Source organism: Homo sapiens, chromosome 10 (assembly GCF_000001405.40).
Source record: "Homo sapiens chromosome 10, GRCh38.p14 Primary Assembly".
In the NCBI taxonomy this organism is placed as follows: Eukaryota; Metazoa; Chordata; class Mammalia; order Primates; family Hominidae; genus Homo; species Homo sapiens.
In genome coordinates, this window is record NC_000010.11 from 92632993 (window position 1) to 92658460 (window position 25468).

General features: G+C 38.0%; 1 protein-coding gene across 1 annotated transcript in view; it reads left to right on the forward strand.

Annotated features, from left to right (window-relative positions):
* The window catches only part of KIF11 (kinesin family member 11), a 62266-nt gene extending 39863 nt beyond the window's left edge, over positions 1-22403 (forward strand). The window contains exons 14-22 of the mRNA NM_004523.4: positions 631-803; positions 4192-4317; positions 4395-4553; positions 6802-6908; positions 12371-12650; positions 15220-15442; positions 16843-16994; positions 17409-17525; positions 20673-22403. Coding sequence (NP_004514.2) covers positions 631-803; positions 4192-4317; positions 4395-4553; positions 6802-6908; positions 12371-12650; positions 15220-15442; positions 16843-16994; positions 17409-17525; positions 20673-20804 — 1469 coding nt within the window. The 3' untranslated portion in view covers positions 20805-22403. The remainder of the gene's footprint in view (positions 1-630; positions 804-4191; positions 4318-4394; positions 4554-6801; positions 6909-12370; positions 12651-15219; positions 15443-16842; positions 16995-17408; positions 17526-20672) is intronic.

The window sequence follows — 25468 nt, forward strand, 5'->3', positions numbered from 1 at the left end:
GACCATAGGTGTTATTGTTAAATTTCTTGGGCCTTTTTCTGGAAATTTTTTGTGCATAAACATTCTGCAACTTTTTTTGGGGGGGGCATATATATCTTGATGGTTTGCTATATTGTCAGAATATGTTTGTGTCTCATTGTTTTTAACTATTATCTCCCTTTAGAAAAAAGTATGTTTATTTAGTGTGAAATACTATCCTCATTATGGAAAATTTGGACATTCAGAAATATAAAAATTTAAAAAATCATCTAGACTCTAGTCTCACTAAGCCAAGCACTATACTTTTTGGTATTGATTTCCAGTTTTTTTTTTCTTCTGTAAACTTACCATAATTCTGTATATTATTTTTAGTTAGAGATTAATTGTAGAATATTCTAATTCTTTGTGTACTATGAATTATAGTTATGGGTCTGATACACTTACAAATATGTTAAGGGCTTACAGAGCACTATAGAAAATTGTAATGTATATTTAAATATTTCCTTGCTTTGTAGTGAGCCAGTTCTTTTAAGCTCGTTATTACAAATTCTACAACAAGGGTATACTTTTGTCAACTTCTTTGAAATGGTTTGAACGGTATTTAATATATTTATGTCAAAGTTTACATCTTTCTGTTTTTGTTTGTTATAGGTAATCTGCTGTCTTCCAGTGTCTCTGCATTAGATACCATTACTACAGTAGCACTTGGATCTCTCACATCTATTCCAGAAAATGTGTCTACTCATGTTTCTCAGATTTTTAATATGATACTAAAAGAACAATCATTAGCAGCAGAAAGTAAAACTGTACTACAGGAATTGATTGTTAGTACATCCTTTAAAATATTTTTGAAGGGTTGCATTTGATAAGTATTTGATAAAATATTTTGAAGGGTTACATTTGATAAGTCTTTATAAACAATGTTAACTGCTATTCTTTCTTCCTGAGCTTTACTAGACACAGTCATAGACACGTCACTGTGAGAGACTACATATATATATATTTTGTTTTGTTTTGTTTTGTTTGTTTGTTTTGAGATGGAGTCTCGCTCTGTCGTCCAGGAGTGCAGTGGCGTGATCTCGGCTCACTGCAAGCTCTACCTCCCGGGTTCATGCCATTCTCCTGCCTTAGCCTCCCGAGTAGCTGGGACTACAGGCGCCCACCACCACACCCGGCTAATTTTTTGTATTTTTAGTAGAGATGGGGTTTCACCGTGTTAGCCAGGATGGTCTTGATCTCCTGACCTTGTGATCCACCCGCCTCGGCCTCCCAAAGTGCTGGGATTACAGGCATGAGCCACCGTGCCCAGCCAGCCTCTCCTTTTCTTTATTTGTATTTATTTATTTTTTTCAGCCTCTCCTTTTCTCGGCTCACTGCAACCTCTGCCTCCTGGGTTCAAGCAGTTCTCTTGCCTCAGCCTCCCGGGTAGATGGAATTATAGGCATGTGCCACCACGCCTGGCTAATTTTCGTATTTTTTTTTAGTAGAGATGGTGTTTTACCATGTTGGTCAGGCTGGTCTCAAGCTCCTAACCTCAAGCAATCCACCCACCTCGGCCTCCCAAAGCGCTGGGATTACAGGCGTGAGCCACCGTGCCCGGCCGAGAGTACGTTTATATTTTTAAAGACAGATCTCTCCACTGTTTATTCTCTCCCAGAAAGATTATTTTCAAATGTATGGAACTAACTTTTGAAACCTTTTTCACTCATGTCTTGTAACATTAGGAGTAGCAGTTATTAGTGAGGCTTCTAATGACTAAAGGGCAAGTTTAGCACCACATGATATCAAGGGACTTGTTAGTTGGCCCAGAAATTGGCAAGTCACTCTTTCCCCAGGGGTCCTGGACCCAACCAGAAGGGGATATTGGGTAGCTGATTTTAAAACTACAGTAATATATGATAGTAATAATGGTGCAAGAAAAATATCTTAGAATTCTGGGGACACATATCACTTCTTAGGGTTAGATCTGTGTGGCCCCTTCTGGGCCATAACTATAAATCTTTTCTCCAGAGTTCTATGGAAGTCACTCATCTAATTGCACTTAATATTACCTCCTTCATACTTGATTTATATATAGTCTTTATTTTATAATTGTATGGTTGGTCTAGGAAGTTCTTAGCCATATAATTTATTTGTTTTCTTTGTGCAGAGTCTTTGCCTCCCTTTTTCAGCTTAACAATATTTATTAAACATTTTCCAAGTAAATACTACAAATGTTAGCTGACCCTCTGCCTCAATTCAGTGCTTAGATGACATTATTTGATAGGTTTTCTCAATCACCCAAATTTGACAAAATTAAAAGATATCCTGTCAGTACTAACTTTTCAAATATTGATTCATTCATTAAATGGTGGTCTGTATATATATAGGCATACTTCAGAGATATTGCAGGTTTGCTTCCAGACCACTGCAATAAAGTGAATATTACAATAAAGCAAGTCATGAATTTTTTGCTTTCCCGGTGCATATAAAGGTTATGTTGACCAGGCGCAGTGGCTCACACCTGTAATTCCAGCACACGCCTGGTGGGACAATCAGAACACAACGTTTATCAGTTACATTTGCTGTCTTATAGGGGTACAGTTTATGGTACCCCAAGACAATTACAATAGTAACATCAAAGATCATTGATCACAGTGTATAATGAAAAAGTTAGAAATACTGTAGTAGTTACCAACATGTGATGCAGAGACAGAAAGTGAGCACATGATATTTGAAAAAAGTCACTGATAGACGTGCTCAAGGTAGGGTTGCCACAAACCTTCAATTTGTAAAAATTTGGTATCTGTGACACATAGTAAGGTGAAGCACAATAAAATAAGCTATGCCTGAATTGATACATTTCTACTTACCAAGTTACAATTTTTGCTTGAATTAAAAGAAAAGAGGCATGTTGCTCTCACAAAATTAGTTGAAATTGGTATGCTAGCTCTTCTTTCCAAAAGAATGTCAGTAGACCTATAAGTATTTACTAATGTATTTCTGTTATACTTCCTCAGCCCTATCCTACCAAAAGGAGATTAGATCAGGATTTTTTTTCTTTTTATAAATATTTCCAATCTATACTACATTCTTAATTTCCCTATTTCTTGACAAGAACAACATCTTTCACAAGTTCTTCTGATACAATAGGATGTAAGTCATCTCAGATCTTCAAAGTTAAGTACTTCCAGCCCAAGGGCTAATCTTGATGACTACTTGGTCTCAGCCTTTTTGACTGGTAACCTAAACTTGTTTGAAATTTATTTTCTTAAAATATACCTGTAGGTTTTTAAAAATTTATTTTGTTTGGAGTGCTGAAATCTTATTAACTGTCATTTTCCTCTTTTGAATTCTTCTGACTTCTATTTCATTAAACTATTAAATAGTTCTGGCTGGGTGCGGTGGCTCATCTCAGCACTTTGGGAGGCCAAGGTGGGTGGATCACTTGAGGTCAGGAGTTCGAGACCAGCCTGGCCAACATGGTGAAACCCTGTCTTTACTGAAATACAAACATTAGCTAGGCGTGGTAGCAGGTGCCTGTAATCCCAGCTACTTGGGAGGCTGAGGCAGGTGAATCGCTTGAACCCAGGAGGCGGAGGTTGCAGTGAGCCAAGATCACGCCATTGCACTCCAGCCTGGGCCACGAGAGTGAAACTATATCTCAAAAAAAGAAAAAAAGAAATTCTGTGTTTTCACTGGGCTTGAAAAAAGAGAAATTATTATATTTATTGTAATATAATAAATTATTGTATTATTGTATTGATTTATCTATGTAGAGTATAAAAAATGGAGAATGGGGCCGGGCGCGGTGGCTCACGCCTGTAATCTCAGCACTTTGGGAGGCCACGGGGGGCGGATCACCTGAGGTCAGGAGTTCCAGACCAGCCTGGCCAACATGGCGAAACCCCATCTCTACTAAAAATACAAAAATTAGCTGGGTGTGGTGGCTCACACCTATAATCCCAGCTACTCCGGAGGCTGAGGCAGGAGAATCACTTGAACCCAGGAGGCAGAGGTTGCAGTGAGCCAAGATGTTGCCACTGTACTCCAACCTGGGTGACAGAATGAGACTCCGTCTCAAAAAAAAAAAAAAAAAAAAAGAATGGAGAATGGAAATGTAAATTTTAATGTGAATGTTTAGCTACCAAAGTATTTAAGATATCATTTAGAAAGGTTTACAGAAGTGGAAATATTCTTTTTAAAGACCTATTTGTTTATTTCTGAAACCAGAATGTACTCAAGACTGATCTTCTAAGTTCACTGGAAATGATTTTATCCCCAACTGTGGTGTCTATACTGAAAATCAATAGTCAACTAAAGCATATTTTCAAGACTTCATTGACAGTGGCCGATAAGGTAACAAATGCTATGTTCTTAATATCTCAAAATTGATGTGTTGTTTAAGAAGGAAACTCATTTTTGTTTCTTCAAAGATAGAAGATCAAAAAAAGGAACTAGATGGCTTTCTCAGTATACTGTGTAACAATCTACATGAACTACAAGAAAATACCATTTGTTCCTTGGTTGAGTCACAAAAGCAATGTGGAAACCTAACTGAAGACCTGAAGACAATAAAGCAGACCCATTCCCAGGTATGTTGTTTAGCGGACTTGGGGAGTACAGAAAGAGAGTTTTAGGATGATTTGATATGACTTGATAATTAATCTATGTTACACAATCTGAATACTGTAAAAGCTGAAACCTGAAAATACCATAGCCACTGTTGCTTATAACAGTAATTATTGTAGAACAATTGAGAATACTTCTCTTAATATTTGAAGTTTTGCTACATCTAGAACCCCATGCAGAACCACAATATGACAAAACAGTCCTTTTCTCACATCAAGATGAAAGATGAATCTGGAAAAACATACCTTTAGAGAAGAATGGTTATAACATTTAAAGTGAAAATGTATCTACATTAAAACCTGCTAAGTTGTTTCTAGGATGGCATGGATAGTTGTCTTTCATAAACCAAGTCCTACTTTCTCTTATTTCTGTCTCACTGATAGACATTTAAAACATAGTAAATCGATACAACTTTTAATTCTTATTGATTATAAATGTAATTCATGATTTATCTTCCCTGTAAACTGTTCCTCATTATATGAGGCTTTAAACCAAAACCAAGCCTTCAAACCATAATCTGTAAATATCAGATATCTGAAAAACAGCTTCTGGTATTCTTAAGACTTTAATAATGACTGTCTAAAGTTTTATTAAATGAGCTTATTATAATATGACAGAACTCTTATAATAGTTAACATTTATTGAGCAATTCACTGTGTTTATTCCTCCCATCAATATAGATATAAATTCTATTACTAGTCAGATTTTTAATGAGGAAACTGAGACCCTGTGAGCATCTAATAGTATGTAGATCATCTTGCAGAAGGTGGTAGTGATCATACTACCTGAAAAGCATCCATGTTTGAGTGGCTCTTTTGTGTGTTTTTTGGCAACTTAAAACTGCAGCATTTTCTCATACATCTACATAGGGTATTTCCCTTAAACCCGTTGAGAACTTTTTAGGTGTATATTCTAAGGCTGATCCCCTTTTTATAAATTTGCTGTTTTGAAATGCTTAAAATTGTTAGACAGCTCTTTAAAAAAACAATACAAAAAAATCTGATCTGAAAAGTATCTTAGCATGAATGGTTTGGCTTTCCTGGCTTTAAGGAAGCAAGTTCAGTATGTGAGCTATTTCTTAGGTTTTCCAGAACTTGAAATGAGCACTACTAAAATAATTATGTAAAACTTTGAACACATTTACATATAGATAAATATAATACCTGCATTAGCATTCAAATTATTAATCTGATAATACCTTTGAGACTAGTAAAAATACTGACAGACTTTATTCATAATCAGAATGTTAGATATGTATTGTCAACTGATGTGTTATTCAGAGATACTGGCCAACCAGCAGACTGAAGAGTGAATAAGAATGTTGGATGCATTTTCAGCTCTTCTTTGGTCATTAGGATGGCTTCTTCATTTTGCAATGTAGCATGTTATATGCCTATAAGAGCTTGTTTTCAAAGATGTAAAATATGAGCAAAGATAAGACTATTTACATTTTGTTAATATGATCCAACTAGGTTCTGTAACATTTTTTAGCTCCAGTAATTGATAATATTTTTGGATTGCTTGACCCGTTAGTATATCACATTAATTTTCCCTTCTAGCAGTGTTATCAGTTAAAAAGCAACTATATATATCTGTCAAAGTGGGTCTTAAACATAATGTGATATATGGGTTGTTTGATTAGTTTTGAGGTACACTGAAAGTAATTTGTTACTTACAGCTAAAATAGTAAAGTTTGCTAATTATTTACTTTTTAAAAAATCCTGGCTGGATGTGATGGCTCATGTCTGTAATCTCAGCACTTTGAGAGGCTGAGGCAGGGTGATCACTTGAGGCTAGGAGTTCAAGACCAGCCTGGTCAACATAGCGAGATCACGTCTCTACAAAAAAAATTTGTTTAAATTAGCCAGGCATGGTGGCTCATGCCTGTGTAGTCCCAACTACTTGGAGGCTGAGGAAGGAGGATCCCTTGAGCCCAGGAGGTTGAAGCTGCAGTGAGCCTTGATTGTGCCACTGCACTACAGCTTGGACAACAGAGTGAGACCCTGTCTCTAAAAAAAAAAACAAATCCTACATTTTAATATCACTTCCACTGCTTTCCTCTGTAGAAGAAAGGTAAAGTTAACTTTATCTCTTGTCAAGAATTTATATAATTCTCACCTATGGACAATACTTCTTGTTTTGTTATCAGTCATAAAAAATGTTCAAGTGTCATAATTTTAAGTCTCTTCACTTCCCACACCTTTCTTACAGGAACTTTGCAAGTTAATGAATCTTTGGACAGAGAGATTCTGTGCTTTGGAGGAAAAGTGTGAAAATATACAGAAACCACTTAGTAGTGTCCAGGAAAATATACAGCAGTAAGCTATTTTTAAATTCTCTTAAACTTTTCTGTAAGTCTGAAATTATTTAAGAAGAAAAAGCTTTAAATAGTACAAATAATTCCTCTGTGTACTTTCAAATTTCTCTTTTGTTAATATTTTATTATGTATGTGTGTATGTATATATATACATGCATATAAATGTCTTTTCATTGCGTATTTGTGCTCTCTTTTAAGACATTGAAAAACCTGGCTGTTACCCACAATATATTTTCGAATTTCCTCAATCTTAGAAAACACACTAAGTAATTTCACAATTTCTAACCTATATTACTGATGAAAAATATACTAACTAGAGCAGGGTTTGGCAAACTGTGGCTAGCAGGCTGGATGCCTGTTATTGCAAATAATTTCATTGGACACTGTTTACATGTTGTCTTTGGCTGCCTTTGCACTGCAGTGGCAAAGTTGAGTCATTGCATCCAGGTCATTGAACAATAGCCTAAAATATTTGCTATCTGGCTTTTCAAGAAAAAGTTTGCTGATTCCTGTATTAGGGTTTTGTTTTTTGTTTTTGTTTTTGTTTTTGCGACGGAGTCTTGCTCTGTCACCCAGGCTGGAGTGCAGTGGAGTGATCTCAGCTCACTGCAAGCTCCGCCTTCCAGGCTCACGCCATTCTCCTGCCTCAGCCTCCCGAGTAGCTGGGACTACAGATGCCCGCCACCATGCTTGGCTAATTTTTTGTATTTTTAGTAGAGAGGGGTTTCACCATGTTAGCCAGGATGGTCTCGATCTCCTGACCTCGTGATCCGCCCGCCTCGGCCTCCCAAAGTGCTGGGATTGCAGGCGTGAGCCACCACGCCCGGCTCTGTTTTGTTTTTTCAGACAAAAACAAACAGCCTGCTCTGTAGCCCAGGCTGAAGTACAGTGGCGCGAGTGCAGTGGTGTGATCTTGGCTCACTGCAACCTCTGCCTCCTGAGTTCAAGTGATTCTCCTGCCTCAGCCTCCCGAGTAGCTGGGATTACAGGCACATACCACCATGCCTGGCTAATTTTTTGTATTTTTAGTAGAGATGGGGTTTCGCCACGTTGGCCAGGCTGATCTTGAACTCCTGGTCTCAACTGATCCTCCTACCTCGGCCTCCCAAAGTGCTGGGATTGCAGGTGTGAGTCACTGCTCCCAGCCTGTATTAGAGTTTAATGTTGCTTTGTAGCCTCATTGCTTGCCAGTTCCGCATACTTAACATACACTACAGTCAGACCTATGTTTTCTTTTAGGAATTTTATAACTTTATGGTTTAACATTTATATTCATGATCCATTTAAAAATTTTTATAAAACATAGGAGATTTGTCAAGTTTCAGTTTTTTGCCTATTGAGTATTCTATACTCATGAGGAGAAAGATACTATATTTACCCTATTTTTCCCCATTTAATTCTGAAATTAAACTTCCTAAAGTTTCAAGCTTTCTTTGGTGGGAAGTAGTCTTTAAGGGTGGGTCTGCTGGACAGAAATTGTTTTTCTTTGTCTAAGAATGTCTTGATTTCCCCTTCATTCCTGAAAGGTATTTTCACTGGCTGTGGAATTCAGGGTTGACAATTATTTTTTTCCAGCATTTGAAATATTTCCATTTTCTTCTGGCCTCTATGAAATGAGAAATCCACTGCCATTCAAGTAATTGTTCCCTTATAGGCAGTCTCCCTATAGCTGCTTTCAAAACTTTTTTGTCTTTAGAAACTTGATTATATTTTGTCTACTTATATTTCGTTGAGTTTATTCTATTTGGGTTTTGTTTAGCTTCTTGAATCTGTAGGCTTATGCCTTTCACCAAAACTTGGGAAATTTTCATCTATTAATTCTTTGAATATTTTTCAGCCCTATACTCTTTTTCATCTGCCCCTATGACTTTGATGACACAAATGTTAGATCTTTTATTTTGGTCCCTCAGGAGATATGTAGAATATATTTCTTATAGATACATATATTCTCTTTGTTGTTCACATTGGGGAAATTCTATTGATCTGTCTTCATATTCACTGAGTCTCCTTCTGTCATCTCTAACCTACTGTTAAACCCATTCAATGAGGTGTTTTTTCAGTTATTGCTTTTTTATTTTTAGTTTTATAATTTTCATTTGCTTTTTTTATACCTTGTTTCTTAGCTAGGATTTTTTTCTTTTCCAGGAGTATTTTAATTTCTTTTTGGAGCATTTTTTGATGGCTGCTTTAAAATCCTTGCCAGACAATTCCAACATCTGAGTTTTCTTGTTGTTGCCATCTATTGATTGTCTTTTCTCATTCAACTTGTGATTTTTGTGGTTCTTGATATATGATAAGTGATTTCCTATTGTACCTTGAAGATTTTGGGTATTATGTTAGGAGATTCAGGATCCTATTTAAGTATTTTTTAGCTGGCATTCACCCTGTTTAGGCTTAGCATACAGATCCAGGCTCACTTTTATGGGCTGTGGTTCCACTGACAATTTAGTTTTTAGAGCCCTTGCAGTGTTATTCTGATAATGCTTTGTTTGTGTGCTACCCACATGAGAAAAATTTGTATTCTGCTTTTGTTGCATGAAGTGTTCTGTATGTGTCACTTTGATCAAGTTGATTGATAGTGCTATTCAGGTCATCCACGGCCTTACTGAGTTTCTGCCTATTTGTTCTATCAGTGACTTAGAGAGGAGTATTGAAATCTCTAATTGTAGATTTATCTATTTTTTTTATTAGTTCTATCAGTTTTTGCCTCGTGTATCTGAAACTCTGTTGTTGGGTGCATATACATTTAGGATTATTATATCTCCTTGGAGAATTGACCTCTTTATCATTATGTAATATCCACTTTTATTTCTGATAAGCTCTTGTTCTGAAGTCTGTTTTGTCTGAAATGAATACAGGTTTTCTAGCTTTCCTTTGATTGCTATTTGTATGATGTATCCTTCTCCATCTCTTTACTTTTGGTCTAAGTCTTTATATTTAAAGTGGGTTTCTTATAGACAGCATGTAGTTGGGTCTTGCTTTTTCATCAAATTTATAATCTATGATGTTTTATTTTTATTTATTTATTTGAGACAGAGTCTTGCTCTGTGGCCCAGGCCGGAGTACAGTGGTGCAATCTTGGCTCACTGCAACCTCTGCCTCCCGGGTTCAAGTGATTCTCCTGCCTCAGCCTCCTGAGTAGCTGGGGCTACAGGCACACACCACCATGCCCAGCTAATTTTTAAATTTTTACTAGAGATGGGGTTTCACCATGTTGGCCAGGCTGGTTTCGAACTCCTGACCTCAAGTGATTTACCTGCCCTGGCCTCCCAAAGTGCTGGGATTATAGGTGTGAGGCACTGCACCCAGCTGCCTTTCCTCATTTAAATTGAGCACTTTTTATGTTTTTATCTCTTCCATTGACTTATTTATACTTTTTAAATATTCCCTTTTTAGTAGTATGTCTAGGATTTAAAGTATACATTTTAAGATAATTTGAATTTGTATACATTTTAAGATAATTTGAATCCATTATCAAATAATTTGCTGTTTCATGTGTAGTGAAAGGACATTATAATAGTATATTCCTGTTTCCTCTTTCCCGTTTGTCATTATTTTCATATGTTTTACTTAGGTGTTTATATGTGCAATAAACACCTAATACATTGTTACTTGAATTGCTTTATCTATTTTCTTTTTTAATGTATCTACTAGATTTTTTTTTTTTTTTTTTTGAGAGGGAGTCTTGGTCTGTCACCCAGGCTGGAGTGCAGTGGTGCAATCTTGGCTCACTGCAACCTCTGCCTCCCAGGTTCAAGCAATTCTCCTGCCTCAGCCTCCCAAGTAGCTGGGATTACAGGCACCTACCACCATGCCCGGCTAATTTTTGTATTTTTAGTAGAGACGGGGGTTTCACCATATTGGCCAGGCTAGTCTCAAACTCCTGACCTTGTGATTGCCCGCCTCAGAAATTTTTAATTGCATATGTGGCTTCTATTATACTTCTGTTGAACAGTGCTGTTCTGGAACTCTAGCTATCATTTATATATCCCTACCTAACTTCTGTCATTTGTTTTTCAACCCTGTTTTTGATCCTGTTAAGTATAGCATGTTCCATTGTGAACTCTTCCTATATGCTGAATCAAAAAAGTATGTCCTACTTTTTATTCCTAGTATCTAGACTGATGGATTTCTAGGCCATTCCATAGCCGTGGAGGAAATACTAGAGTAGGATTGAAGTAGGAAGGGAAGTATGATATACTTTCTTAAGGCCCATGCAAATCATTTTTCCTGCTTTCCTGACATTTATTGTCTACACCAGAGTTTCCCAGTATGGTCTAGGGACTTTGTATTCATCACCCAGGAATCTAGGTGATGTTTATGTACACACTGCACATAACTGCGTTTGGCATTTATTGTCATGGCTTATAGTACTTTTAACTCAATCTCGTCTTCCCATTAAGTTGTGAGATTTTGTTTTGTTTTTTTTATTTGAGACAGAGTCTTGCTCTGTCGCCCAGGCTGGAGTACAATGACACAATCTCAGCTCACTGCAACCTCTGCCTCCTAGGGTCAACCAATTCTCCTGCCTCACTCTCTCCCAAGTAGCTGAGATTACAGGCACCCACCACCACGCCCGGCTAATTTATTGTATTTTTAATAGAGACAGGGCTTCACCATATTGGCCGGACTGGTCTCTAACTCCTGACCTCAGGTGATCCACCTGCCTCGGCCTCCCAAAGTGCTGGGATTAGAGGTGTGAGCCACTATGCCTTGCCCTTTTTTCAGTCATTGTGACTTTCACGTGTAGGTTTGGTTTTTAACATCTTTGCTGACTCACTTGGTTTACCCACGTGGTGTACCATCTAGTGGTAATAGAGAGTCACTTCATTCCACAAGGTTTAAATCTTGTAAGATAACTTGGAATGCTATTATAGGGCAACTTACCGAGATGGAAATTATCAATGAATTTTAAATGTATGTCTAACCAACATTAATATTATATCAAGTTTATGTTACATTGTTCTATATGTATAATTTGTCACACCCCAATATAATTTTAATTATTAGAAAGCTTTATAGCTAATTTAAACATAACATTTGTAATGTTCATGATTTGTTTTACATACTAGGCAAGGGAAACTGCTTAATAACAGAATAAATGACTGATTGTCCAATTTAGGGACTAGACAAGAGGCTGTAGTAGATGCCCTGAAGTAACATTGCCTAGTAAGAGGAATAAAACAAGTAGACAGATTTTGAAAGCATCATAACTGGAGGAGGGTTGTGAAAGGTTTCATGAGCAAAGATGATCCTTTCAAAGGTCATTTAATGGCAATGCTGTGAAAAGACAGTGGCCAAGGCATCCATTCTCAATGCAGAAGATTTACTAAGATCACGGGCCCTGGAGCCAGACTGTCCACGTTCAGATCTGCCACTTAAGAGCTGAGTGATCTTGGGAAGTTATATATCCTTTGAGTCTTAATTCCCCATTTCAACAGTGTCATTCTCTTTTCCTATAGGAAATCTAAGGATATAGTCAACAAAATGACTTTTCACAGTCAAAAATTTTGTGCTGATTCTGATGGCTTCTCACAGGAACTCAGAAATTTTAACCAAGAAGGTACAAAATTGGTTGAAGAATCTGTGAAACACTCTGATAAACTCAATGGCAACCTGGAAAAAATATCTCAAGAGACTGAACAGAGATGTGAATCTCTGAACACAAGAACAGTTTATTTTTCTGAACAGTGGGTATCTTCCTTAAATGAAAGGGAACAGGAACTTCACAACTTATTGGAGGTAATAACTTTGTAAGTGGAACTTACTTTGGGGAGAATAATAATCAGAAAGTTAAATATTCTTGGCTAAGAATAGATTTCAAAACAAATGATATTTTAAGCTATAATGACTTAAACTTTTAAGTATAATATTTGGTATGCTTACAGATGATCTCGTTTTGTGCTTTGTTATATGTCTTCTCAATCTTGGAATTAATTTAACATTTGTACAGTTTCTTTCCTGTATTTATCCTTGGTTTCTGACTTAGTAGTTTCTTCAAAGAAGGGCACCCTGTCTTTTGATATGTAATACCTTCCACTTATATATGCTTTTTTTTTTTTTTTTTTTGAGATGGAGTCTCACTCTGTTGCCCAGGCTGGAGTGCAATGGCACGATCTCAGCTCACTGCAACCTCCGCCTCCCAAGTTCAAGCGATTCTCCTGCCTCAGCCTCTCGAGTAGTTGGGATTATAGGCACCTGCCACCACACCCGGCTAATTTTTTTGTATTTTTAGTAGAGATGGGGTTTCACTATATTGGCCAGGCTGGTGTCAAACTCCTGACCTCATGATCCACCCGCCTCGGCCTCCCAAAGTGCTGGGATTACAGGCATGAGCCACTGCGCCCGGCCTATCTTTGCTTTTTACTTTTCTCCAAGTACATTCAAACCTATTATTATTTTAAGTATTTAGGTTATTGTTCTGGTAACTAAAGGATACTTGATAGGTTTATGGATTTGCTTGAACTTAACGCTTGCATGAGCCCTTTGTAACTTGGTTTTTTCTTTCTTTGCATTAATAGGATTTTACTAACATTCTCAGGAAGTAGGTACAAAGAATTAAAATTTTTAATCTATATAAGCTGTTTTCACTAAAAGGAACTAGAGTTTGTATACAAATAGCTAATTTCAGATTTGTGATAGGAAATGTATAATATATGAGCCTAGAGATCTTGTCATACCAGAGAGTAAGGAAGCTGTTAAAGATTTCTGAGGTTGTCAAAAGGTCTTAGTAGCCAACCTCCCCATCTTCAAAGGTGGCATAATTTGAGCATCAAAAAGAATAATGGCCATAATGGATTAAAACATATCAAATATATTAAAACTTACGAACTCATAAAAATTTCATAGGTCTCCTTTGGATCATGCTAGGGAAGCAACACATTGTCCTGAAAATGGGTAAAGAAGAAGAAAAAATTTAGCATCCATCTGTCTTTCCTAAAAGAACCATATCTTGGTTTAGCAGGGTAATGAAGAAAAGTGTTTCATTAGACTCTAAGCTAATAAAATGGAGAAGAAATGATAGAATTAATATATCACCAGTATGCAACTCTTAATAAAATAACCCCTGTGGATGTTAATGATGGCTTAAACCATTTGATCAAAAGCTGTTGGGGAACTTTATAATTAATAGGCTAACCATACCTGAACTCACTGATAAATCTTAACATGAGAGACACAGCAAAGCATTTTGTGCTTGCAGTACTACCTATGAAATACTCTTGCTAAAAAATTAAACCTGAATTAAATCAAGCCTTTAGGTCTAACCAGTTTGTAGAAAATAAAGCATAGAAATGCAGTTGACCAAATCCAGAATTTGAGATGTTCAATGGGGTAAAGACCTCATGTCTTCAGCAACAAGTTTTTTTTTTCAAGGGAAAAAATATGAGAAACAATAACCTGTATATCAAAAGAGACTTAAGACTAGAGGTCCTTAAGTCTTAGTTTGCCTGAGACAGTCCTTGTTGATATTGTTGTATTAGAATGATTATTAAGAATGGGCCCTTTCACTCCAAAAGGTGTCCCAATTTGGATGATAAATTATATAGTCACCGACTTAAGACCTATGAACCAAATCTAGTGGTGAATTCTGGTTCAAACAAAGCAATTGTGACACACATTTGAGACGACTGGTGAAGTTTGAACATGGACTAGACATTTGATAGGAAGGAATCAGTGTTAACCTTTTTAGATGTGATAGTGGTCTTAAAGTGCTCTTACCTCTTAGAGATACATGCTGAAGTAAATGGATGAAATGATACAGGATTTGTTTCAAAATAATCCTGGGTTTATGGAGGAGTTGAGTGGCCAGTCCTGTTGGTAAATGTCTGTACTCCACTTGTTGGTAAATGTTGAAGCTGGGTAATGAATACAAGGGAGTTAATTATACTGTTCTCTCTACTTTTGTATGTGTTTTTAAATCTTTTATTACTGAAGGCCAGGTGTGGTGGCTCATGCCTGTAATCTTTGGAGGTCAAGGTGGGCAGATTGCTTGAGCCCAGGAGTTTGAGACCAGCTTGGGCAACATGGTGAAATGCCATCTCTTCAAAAAATACAAAAATTAGCCAGGCATGGTGGTACATGCCTGTAGTCCCAGCTACCTGGGAGGCTGAGGTGGGAGGATGGCTTGAGCCTGGGAGGTCAAGGCTGTAGTGAGCACTACTCATGCCACTGCACTCCAGCCTGGGCAACAGAGTGAGACTTGTCTCCAAAAAAAAAAAAAATTATGGAAAAGGTAAGGGAAAATATGATGTTGAATAAAACACTGGCAACTTTAATTTTAGTAATAAATATTTATTTGCATCATTTACAGGTTGTAAGCCAATGTTGTGAGGCTTCAAGTTCAGACATCACTGAGAAATCAGATGGACGTAAGGCAGCTCATGAGAAACAGCATAACATTTTTCTTGATCAGATGACTATTGATGAAGATAAATTGATAGCACAAAATCTAGAACTTAATGAAACCATAAAAATTGGTTTGACTAAGCTTAATTGCTTTCTGGAACAGGATCTGAAACTGGATATCCCAACAGGTACTTTAAAAGAGAAATAGAATTGTTAAATTTTTTGAAGTCGAATTCAACTCTATGTAGTGTCAGATGTTCAGAAAAATTAGGTCCTGCCATTGCCTGACAGAAATTTAACATCTCACTGTAATCAACTCAAAATGGGAAAACTGGAACCTTAAAATAGTTTTAATCAAGTGTCATGATACAGGTGGTATCACAATTCAGTATAATTTCACATACTTTCAGGGAGTTGACTTTGTTAATAGGGGATTTTTTAAAACAAATACAAACCTAGCACTGTTTGTAAAAGGACATTTTAATACCACAAATATGGGAGAGATGTAACTGACTAAATCTAGTTTAATGCAAAGTTTACCACATTGTGCATTTTGTTCTGTGTCCCTCTCATTTTGTCATAGACTATTGCCATTTAGGAATCCCTGTTTTAAGAGATCAGGGATCACCATGGACCATTAGCATTTAGGAATCAACATTTTGAGAGATCACATATGGCAAAGATCATTATAGGCTGTAATGATTCAGGGAGGTCTTCATGGAAGAGATGTAACAAGCTGTTTTACACAGCATGAATAATTGGGTTCTTCATTGGATTATGGTAATGGTTGCACACCCTGTAAACTCACTAAAATCCACTGAATTGTACACATAAAATGAGTGTTTTATGGTATGTAAATTATATCACAAAACTCTTTTTTTTTTTTAATTTAAAAAGCAATTGTTAAAAGGGGATGGTGCTACATAGAATGTTGGTTTATTTATTCCCCAAGAGACCTGTAGGATTTACTGTCTACTTTTCAATGAAGTTAGGAATGTAAATGTTGAGTGAAAAGGCAAGTACTTTTGTAAATCATGAGAGCATGAGCTTATTACAGAGAAATATAACTGGGGGCCTGATGCGGTGGCTCACACCTATAATCCCAGCACTTCGGGAGGCAAGGCAGGAGGATCGTTTGAGCCCAGGGGTTCAAGACCAGCCTGGGCAACATAGTATATGTATATAACTAGTTAATATTTAACCACCACACCACATTTATAGTGAAATGATTACTCCTATCAAAGTAATCATGTTGGGAAATCTACTCATTCCAATAATGCTGCCATTTTTTTCAGAACACTATAACTCCTTTTAGAGCTTATAACACATCTTTTATATATCCTCAGAGATGGTAAACTTCATGTTTTAGAGAGTAGGATGAATCTTGAAAACAGTAAAGTCTGTCATCAAATTAGAAAGTATTGTTAGTTGCAAACAATGTCTGACAGGTAGCAAGACTGATCCTCATATATGGCAATTATATTTTTATATTTTTAGAAGACAAGATTAATTAGGAAGTTTTAGGTTTTTTTAAAAATATTTACATCTCATACTTTAATTTTTACCTCTTATCTAATGTCCGTTAAAGGTACGACACCACAGAGGAAAAGTTATTTATACCCATCAACACTGGTAAGAACTGAACCACGTGAACATCTCCTTGATCAGCTGAAAAGGAAACAGCCTGAGCTGTTAATGATGCTAAACTGTTCAGAAAACAACAAAGAAGAGACAATTCCGGTAAATTTAAAGGATCATATTTTATAATAGAACTCTTTTATGAACTCTTGATGTGGCTGACTTCATGTGAAGAATTTTACTGTTTACCCCTCAATCTTACCCCGCCTCTCATTAATGATAGGCCTAGCCCTTAGGCTTGTTTCTTTTAATCTTACTAGTTTTTAAATTATGCTAGTAGATAATAATAGCCAATACTTAATATTGTGCTTAGTAACATTGTTATATAGGAACCTCTACTCTCTATAAAAATATATTAGGAATTATTTTCATTAATTTGTAGACTTTCTAATAATTTTGTTGAGGTTTAACTTTTATATTATACCATGGGCATTGTGTTATACTCAAAGCTGCTGTTACTCTTGTGATGACTTTTAAGCCCTTGGACTTAGTCACTCATCCAGTTTCTTCTTTTAGGATGTGGATGTAGAAGAGGCAGTTCTGGGGCAGTATACTGAAGAACCTCTAAGTCAAGAGCCATCTGTAGATGCTGGTGTGGATTGTTCATCAATTGGCGGGGTTCCATTTTTCCAGGTATGTCATATCAGATAACCCTTCCACATCTGATGTAAGTCATTCATTTACTATTCATTATAAAGGTATTGTTCGTGGTGAGCAGAACAACAAAAACCTTTCAATTATTCCTTAGGATGGCTTGTTAACGCTTATGATTTGAATTATTTACAAAAATCTGATATTGATAAGGGGTTTTCTGTAGAATAAATGAAGGCAGAATTTGACTTAATCTACATCCTTAGCTGATAATCTTTAGCTATTGTATTTATTCCTTTTCTGCTTGCTATATACTCAGACACTGAGAGCAGTCATTTCTCTTCCTTCTACCTTTGACATGTAAGTCTTGGAACCTATCTCTGCCCATAATCAGACTTTGAAGGCAAAGTGATTGAAAAGATTGAGAGACTGGAGGCCTCTTAGGTTATATTAGTGATTTCTCCTGCCTGAGGCTCTTCTCTTGTAAACTGTTGCCCCATGTTTCCTGAGCACCTTGCCTGCTCTAATCCAGTGTAATTAAATCCTGTGACCTCTCCTACCCACTCTTCTTTTTTTTTTGAGACTGAGTCACCCAGGCTGAAGTGGAGTGGCACGATCTTGGCTCACTTAACCTCCGCCTCCTGAGTTCAAGTGATTCTCCTGACTCAGCCTCCCGGGTAGCTAGGATTACAGGCATGCACCACCACACCTGGCTAATTTTTTTGTATTTTTAGTAGAGACAGGGTTTCACTATGTGGGCCAGGCTGGTCTCAAACTCCTGACCTCAAGTTATCTACCCTCCTCGGCCTCCCAAAGTGCTGGGATTACAGGCGTGAGCCACTGTGCCCAGCCCTCTACCCACTTTTTTTTTTCTTTTGAGACGGAGCTTCGCTCTTGTTTCCCAGGCTGGAGTGCAATGGCACGATCTTGGCTCACCGCAACTTCCACCTCCTGGGTTCAAGTGATTCTCCTGCCTCAGCCTCCCGAGTAGCCAGGATTACAGGCATGTGCCACCATGCCTGGCTAATTTTGTTTTTTTTTTTTTTTTTTTTTTTTTTTTTTTTTTTTTTTTTAGTAGAGGGGGTTTCTCTGTGTTGGTCAGGCTGGTCTCGAACTCCCAACTTCAGGTGATCTGCCTGCCTCGGCCTCCCGTAGTGCTGGGATTACAGGTGTGAGCCACCGGCCCGGCCCCTCCTACCCACTTTTTAACACTGTTGAGAACATAGTTGGTTTATGATTCATCTCAGCATTGATGACTGAGTACACAATCAATGTCACCAGTCCCTTAATGTTCTCTATGGGTAAGTAGGAGGATTCCAATGAAATACAACTTCCAAGTGAGGCTCTATAAAGTGCTGGTATCTTTTCCTCTAATTTGAGGGTACAAGCCTAGACAGAGTGTGTGAAGGAAAAATTTCCTTACGTAGGACATTGGTATCTACATTTACAGTTGAAGTTCTACTTCTGAGATGCATATGCTTGTACCTTTTTTTTTTTTTTTTTTTTTTAAATATATATAGAGAGAGGGTCTTGCTATGTTGGCCAGACTGGTCTTGAACTCTTGGCCTCAAGCAGCCCTCCTACCTCAGCCTCCCAAAATGCTAGGATTACAGGCATGAACCACTGCGCCTGGCTGCTTGTACCTTTTTTGTGTGTATGTCTTGTTTTGTTTTTTTGTTTTTGAGACGGAGTTTTGCTCTTGTTGCCCAGGCCAGAGTGCAATTGCCTGATCTTGGCTCACCACAATCTCCGCCTCCCGGGTTCTAGCGATTCTCTTGCCTCATCCTCCCGAGTAGCTGGGATTACAGGCATGCACCACCACACCTGGCTAATATTGTATTTTTAGTAGAGAAGGGGTTTCTCCATGTTGGTCAGGCTAATCTTGAACTCCCGACCTCAGGTGATCCGCCCGCCTCGGCCTCCCAAAGTGCTGGGATTACAAGCGTGAGCCACCGCGCTCGGCCTGTAACTGTTTTTTAATAGATCTACAGCTCCTTCCCTTAAGGTCTAAAGATTCTCCATCCCTGCTTTCAACAGTTAACAAAGTTCCAACTCAGATTCTCATAAATTCCTCCCTGTCTTCCTCTGGGCAATTTTATTCCCAAATTCTTGCCACCTTTTGCTTTATTCCTTACTATTAGAGAACTATAAATATGTTTCTTTCAGTTTTCATCCTTTTCTTCTATCTTATAAAGTTAGGAAAGGGGGAAGGATAAGAGAACCTGGTGACTACTTAATCCCTGGTCAGAAATCGTTTTATTATTATTATCTGTGGCATTTTGAATTAGGCTTAGTGATTCAGCTATGGCAAGGAAGTCCCTACAGTACCAGAAAGGGTTTGGGATGGGGTTTTAGACCTTCAGCTGAAGTCCAGAAATGATCTTTTCCCTAGTAGCAGTGTGATGTGGGGATTTTCTCTGCGTTTAAAACTTTAAAAGTTGGTTTACAATTTGTCTCAGCATTGATGACTGAGTGTACAATGAATGTCACCAGTCCATTAATGTTCTGTATGGGTAAGTAGGATTCCAATGAAATAGAACTTCCAAATGAGGAATATGAAATAGGTTTTACAAATAAAATAAAATACAATTTTAAAAAACAAGTAAAAGTGTTTTTAAGGTGGCCCATATACCAGTTTCTCTGCTTAAAACAGAATTGGCTTTTCTGCATGACAGCAAATCTTTGTTTCCTTAGAGCAGGGTTTCTTGACAGCAGTGCTATTGGCATTTTAAACTGGATAATTCTTTGTTGTGATGGGCTTTCCTGTGGACTGTACTATGTTGGTACACAAGAAAAACAGTGTACTATGTGAATACTCACTCAAAGCCAGTAGCACTCCCTGATTGTAACACCAAAAAAGTCTCTCAGCATTGCCAAATGTCCCCTGTGGCAGCAGAATCACTCCCTGATGAGAACCACTACCCTGGAGTAAAATCTATAACTATGTCTTAGAAAATAACACAGAAAATTAATATTTCTTTCACTCTACTCCTTCCATTAGTGATCAAATAAAGAAGGCATTTGGCGCTACTTGCCAAATTGTTGGCTCAAACTTGTGCTGAACCTTTTTTGGTTTTCTACACTTAAGTTTTTTTGCCTATAACCCAGAGAACTTTGAAAATAGAGTGTAGTTAATGTGTATCTAATGTTACTTTGTATTGACTTAATTTTCCCGCCTTAAATCCACAGCATAAAAAATCACATGGAAAAGACAAAGAAAACAGAGGCATTAACACACTGGAGAGGTCTAAAGTGGAAGAAACTACAGAGCACTTGGTTACAAAGAGCAGATTACCTCTGCGAGCCCAGATCAACCTTTAATTCACTTGGGGGTTGGCAATTTTATTTTTAAAGAAAACTTAAAAATAAAACCTGAAACCCCAGAACTTGAGCCTTGTGTATAGATTTTAAAAGAATATATATATCAGCCGGGCGCGGTGGCTCATGCCTGTAATCCCAGCACTTTGGGAGGCTGAGGCGGGTGGATTGCTTGAGCCCAGGAGTTTGAGACCAGCCTGGCCAACGTGGCAAAACCTCGTCTCTGTTAAAAATTAGCCGGGCGTGGTGGCACACTCCTGTAATCCCAGCTACTGGGGAGGCTGAGGCACGAGAATCACTTGAACCCAGGAAGCGGGGTTGCAGTGAGCCAAAGGTACACCACTACACTCCAGCCTGGGCAACAGAGCAAGACTCGGTCTCAAAAACAAAATTTAAAAAAGATATAAGGCAGTACTGTAAATTCAGTTGAATTTTGATATCTACCCATTTTTCTGTCATCCCTATAGTTCACTTTGTATTAAATTGGGTTTCATTTGGGATTTGCAATGTAAATACGTATTTCTAGTTTTCATATAAAGTAGTTCTTTTATAACAAATGAAAAGTATTTTTCTTGTATATTATTAAGTAATGAATATATAAGAACTGTACTCTTCTCAGCTTGAGCTTACATAGGTAAATATCACCAACATCTGTCCTTAGAAAGGACCATCTCATGTTTTTTTTCTTGCTATGACTTGTGTATTTTCTTGCATCCTCCCTAGACTTCCCTATTTCGCTTTCTCCTCGGCTCACTTTCTCCCTTTTTATTTTTCACCAAACCATTTGTAGAGCTACAAAAGGTATCCTTTCTTATTTTCAGTAGTCAGAATTTTATCTAGAAATCTTTTAACACCTTTTTAGTGGTTATTTCTAAAATCACTGTCAACAATAAATCTAACCCTAGTTGTATCCCTCCTTTCAGTATTTTTCACTTGTTGCCCCAAATGTGAAAGCATTTCATTCCTTTAAGAGGCCTAACTCATTCACCCTGACAGAGTTCACAAAAAGCCCACTTAAGAGTATACATTGCTATTATGGGAGACCACCCAGACATCTGACTAATGGCTCTGTGCCCACACTCCAAGACCTGTGCCTTTTAGAGAAGCTCACAATGATTTAAGGACTGTTTGAAACTTCCAATTATGTCTATAATTTATATTCTTTTGTTTACATGATGAAACTTTTTGTTGTTGCTTGTTTGTATATAATACAATGTGTACATGTATCTTTTTCTCGATTCAAATCTTAACCCTTAGGACTCTGGTATTTTTGATCTGGCAACCATATTTCTGGAAGTTGAGATGTTTCAGCTTGAAGAACCAAAACAGAAGGAATATGTACAAAGAATAAATTTTCTGCTCACGATGAGTTTAGTGTGTAAAGTTTAGAGACATCTGACTTTGATAGCTAAATTAAACCAAACCCTATTGAAGAATTGAATATATGCTACTTCAAGAAACTAAATTGATCTCGTAGAATTATCTTAATAAAATAATGGCTATAATTTCTCTGCAAAATCAGATGTCAGCATAAGCGATGGATAATACCTAATAAACTGCCCTCAGTAAATCCATGGTTAATAAATGTGGTTTCTACATTAACCTGCTTGCTCCATAATTTCTTATCTGGCAATGGGTATATTTAGAGGGTTAGGCAAGCTGCATTCACATTCCCAAAATAAACTATGCAGGTACCACCAAAGAAGAAGGAGCCTAGTAAACTTGCAGGCTTTTAGTTGCACTCCAAGGGGCTATCCTAGGTGCAAGGTTAGTGAGAAGTAGGCCCTCACACAGCCTGAAGTCCAGCTTTAAGTCATCTCATTCCATGACTGTTTAAGTTATCTGAGAATGCTGATGCAACTAATTTCACTGCCTCACAGAAGCAAAAATAAATCTCCAGATAATTTTAACATCCAGAACCATAAATTAGCTCTACCAATTTTCATACACAATGTCGGGCCCTCAGAATGTAACCAAGAGTAGCATCAGCAAAAATGGCCAAGTAGGTAGCTTCAAGGACCTTTTCCTCCACAGAAACATTGAAAAATCAAGCAAAAACATTCAGAAACAACTTTGTCAGAACCCAGGAAAATAGTTTACAGCACCAAGCATTTGCTGAATCAAGAAAAAGGCAACCTAGAAAGAAGGAAAGCTTGGCAGTGTTTTACTTGCCCTTTCCCCATTCTCAGCTCTGCAACAGTCTTGAAGACACAGAACACATTCTCAGCGTGGAGTCCTGGTCTTGGGTTTCTAGGGAGAAGAGAGATTTTTTTTTTTTTTTTTGGAGACAGTCTCACCCTGCCACCCAGGCCAGAGTGCATTGGCATGATCTCGGCTCACTGCAACCTCCCGGGTTCAAGCAATTTGTGCCTCAGCCTCCCAAGTAGCTGGGACCACAGGCACACACCACGACACCTGCTAATTTTTGTATTTTTAGTAGAGACGGGGTTTCACCATGTTGGCCAGGCTGGTCTCAAACTCCTGATCTCAGGTGATCCACCCTTTTCGGCCTCCCAAAGTGCTTGGATTATAGGCATGAGCCACCACATCCAGCCCCAGAGATTTTATTCTTGAAAGATTATGTTTGTTCTGACCTGTCTGGCAGCCTCAAGGACTGACAAAAGGCACCTGCATTTGTTTCGTGTAACTCAGAACTCAGTCATGGTGTGAAATTGGCATGTTTGTCTCTAAATATTGTAAGGCAAATGAACAACCTGCTGCCGCCTGAGGCAAAAAGTTACCGTTGAGGTAAACAAAGGAGTGCCTAAAGCCTGAGAGGAAAGCAGCAGAATTTCTTAGGGAAATTAGGTTATTCAAAAGCACCCATGTATATTGGGGGATTTAGAAAGCCATGCACAGTCCCAGGTCAGTCTGCACATTCAAACCTGAGAAGACCCCAAGATTTCATGTCTGGCTGATGTGTAGGCTCAGTGCAAGCAGGAAGTAAAGGCTAAGGCCAATTTCAGATGGGCCGGATAGGCACTGAAGGTGTGTCCCAACACAGCCAATCAGCAAAAACTGAGGGTTTTTTTCTTCCCTTGTCAATTTTTGGGGCAACCAGTTTTCAAAGAAATCTCATCACACTGGCTGAACGCTAGCAAAAGGAAGACACCTTACAGACCGTGTAAGTCAAAGAACAGAAACTTTACAAAAACAGGTCAGAAAAGTCACTAGGACCGGGTGCTGTGGCTCATGCCTGTAATTTCAGTATTTTGGGAGGCCAAGGTGGGAGGATCACTTGAACCCAGGAGTTCGAGACCTGCCCGGGCAACATAGTGAGAACTCGTCTCTATAAAAAAAAAATTTTTTTTAATTAGTTGGGCATGGTGGCACAGGCCTATAGTCCCAACCACTTGGGAGGCTGAGGTGGAAGGATTGATTGAGCCCAGGGGTTTGAGGCTACAGTCAGCTATGATTGCGCCACTGCATTCCAGCCTCGGGAACAGAGTGAGACTTTGTCTCTAAATATATACAAGTCACTAAACAAACCACTACAACCCACAGCAAGTAACAAAAACCCTGAGGAGTGAAGAATCTGGTTTCCAGAGTTAATAGTAAAGTAATATTCAGCTTTCAACAAAAAACTGTGAAGCATGCAAAGAAAGTATAGCCCACTCAGAAAAAATTAGAATAAACTATCTGAGGAAGCATAGACATTGGACTTTAAGACAAAATTTGTAAATCAACTGTCTCAAAAGTGCTCAAAGAGCTAAGGGAATACAGGGAAACAATGTCTCATAGAGATTGTCAAAGAAATTATAAAAAGGAACCATAAAAATTAGCTGAAAAGTGCAATAAAAAAAAGGGGGAAAAAATGGTTCTAATAGCAGATATGGCCAGACAGTAGAAAGAATCAGTGAAGCTGAAGGTAGATCAATTGAAATTATCCATCTGAGGAGCAGAAGAACAAAGGAAAGAAGCAATTTAAGAAAGCTATGGATTACCACCAAGCATACCAACCTTTGCAAAATAGGAGTTTCAGAAGGAGAGGAGAGAGAAAGGGGCAGAAAGAATATTTGAAGAAATAATGGCCCCAAACACCTCAAATTTGTGAAAACACTTGAATGTACCCATCCAAGAAGTTTGCAGAACTCCAAATAGGATAAGTCAGGAAAGATCCATGTCGAGACATATATAAACTGTCCAAAACTGAAAAGAGGATCTTGGAAGCAGAAAGACAGTGGCAATCAGAGAAATGCAAATCCAAATCACAGTGAGATACCACTTCACATCCAGAAGGATGGCTATAACAAAAAATACAGAAAAAAAAAAGTGGTGTTGGGGATGCTGGAAAATGGGAGCCTTCTTGTTTTCTGAGATGGAGTGTCGTTCTGTCACCCAGGCTGGAGTGCAGTGGTGCTATCTCAGCTCACTGCAACCTCCACCTTTTGGGTTCCAGTGATTCTCCTGCCTCAGCCTCTGGAGTAGCTGGGATTACAGGTGCTTACCATCACACCCAGCTAATTTTTTTTCTGGCTAATTTTTATATTTTTAGTAGAAATGGGGTTTCGCCATGTTGCCCAGGTTAGTCTTGAGCTCCTGATCTCAAGTGATCCACCTGTCTTGGCCTCCCAAAGTACTAAGATTTCAGGCGTGAGCCACCCCGCCCAGCCTGAAAATGGGAACCTTGTACATTGCTCATGGGAATGTAAAATGGTTCAGCCACT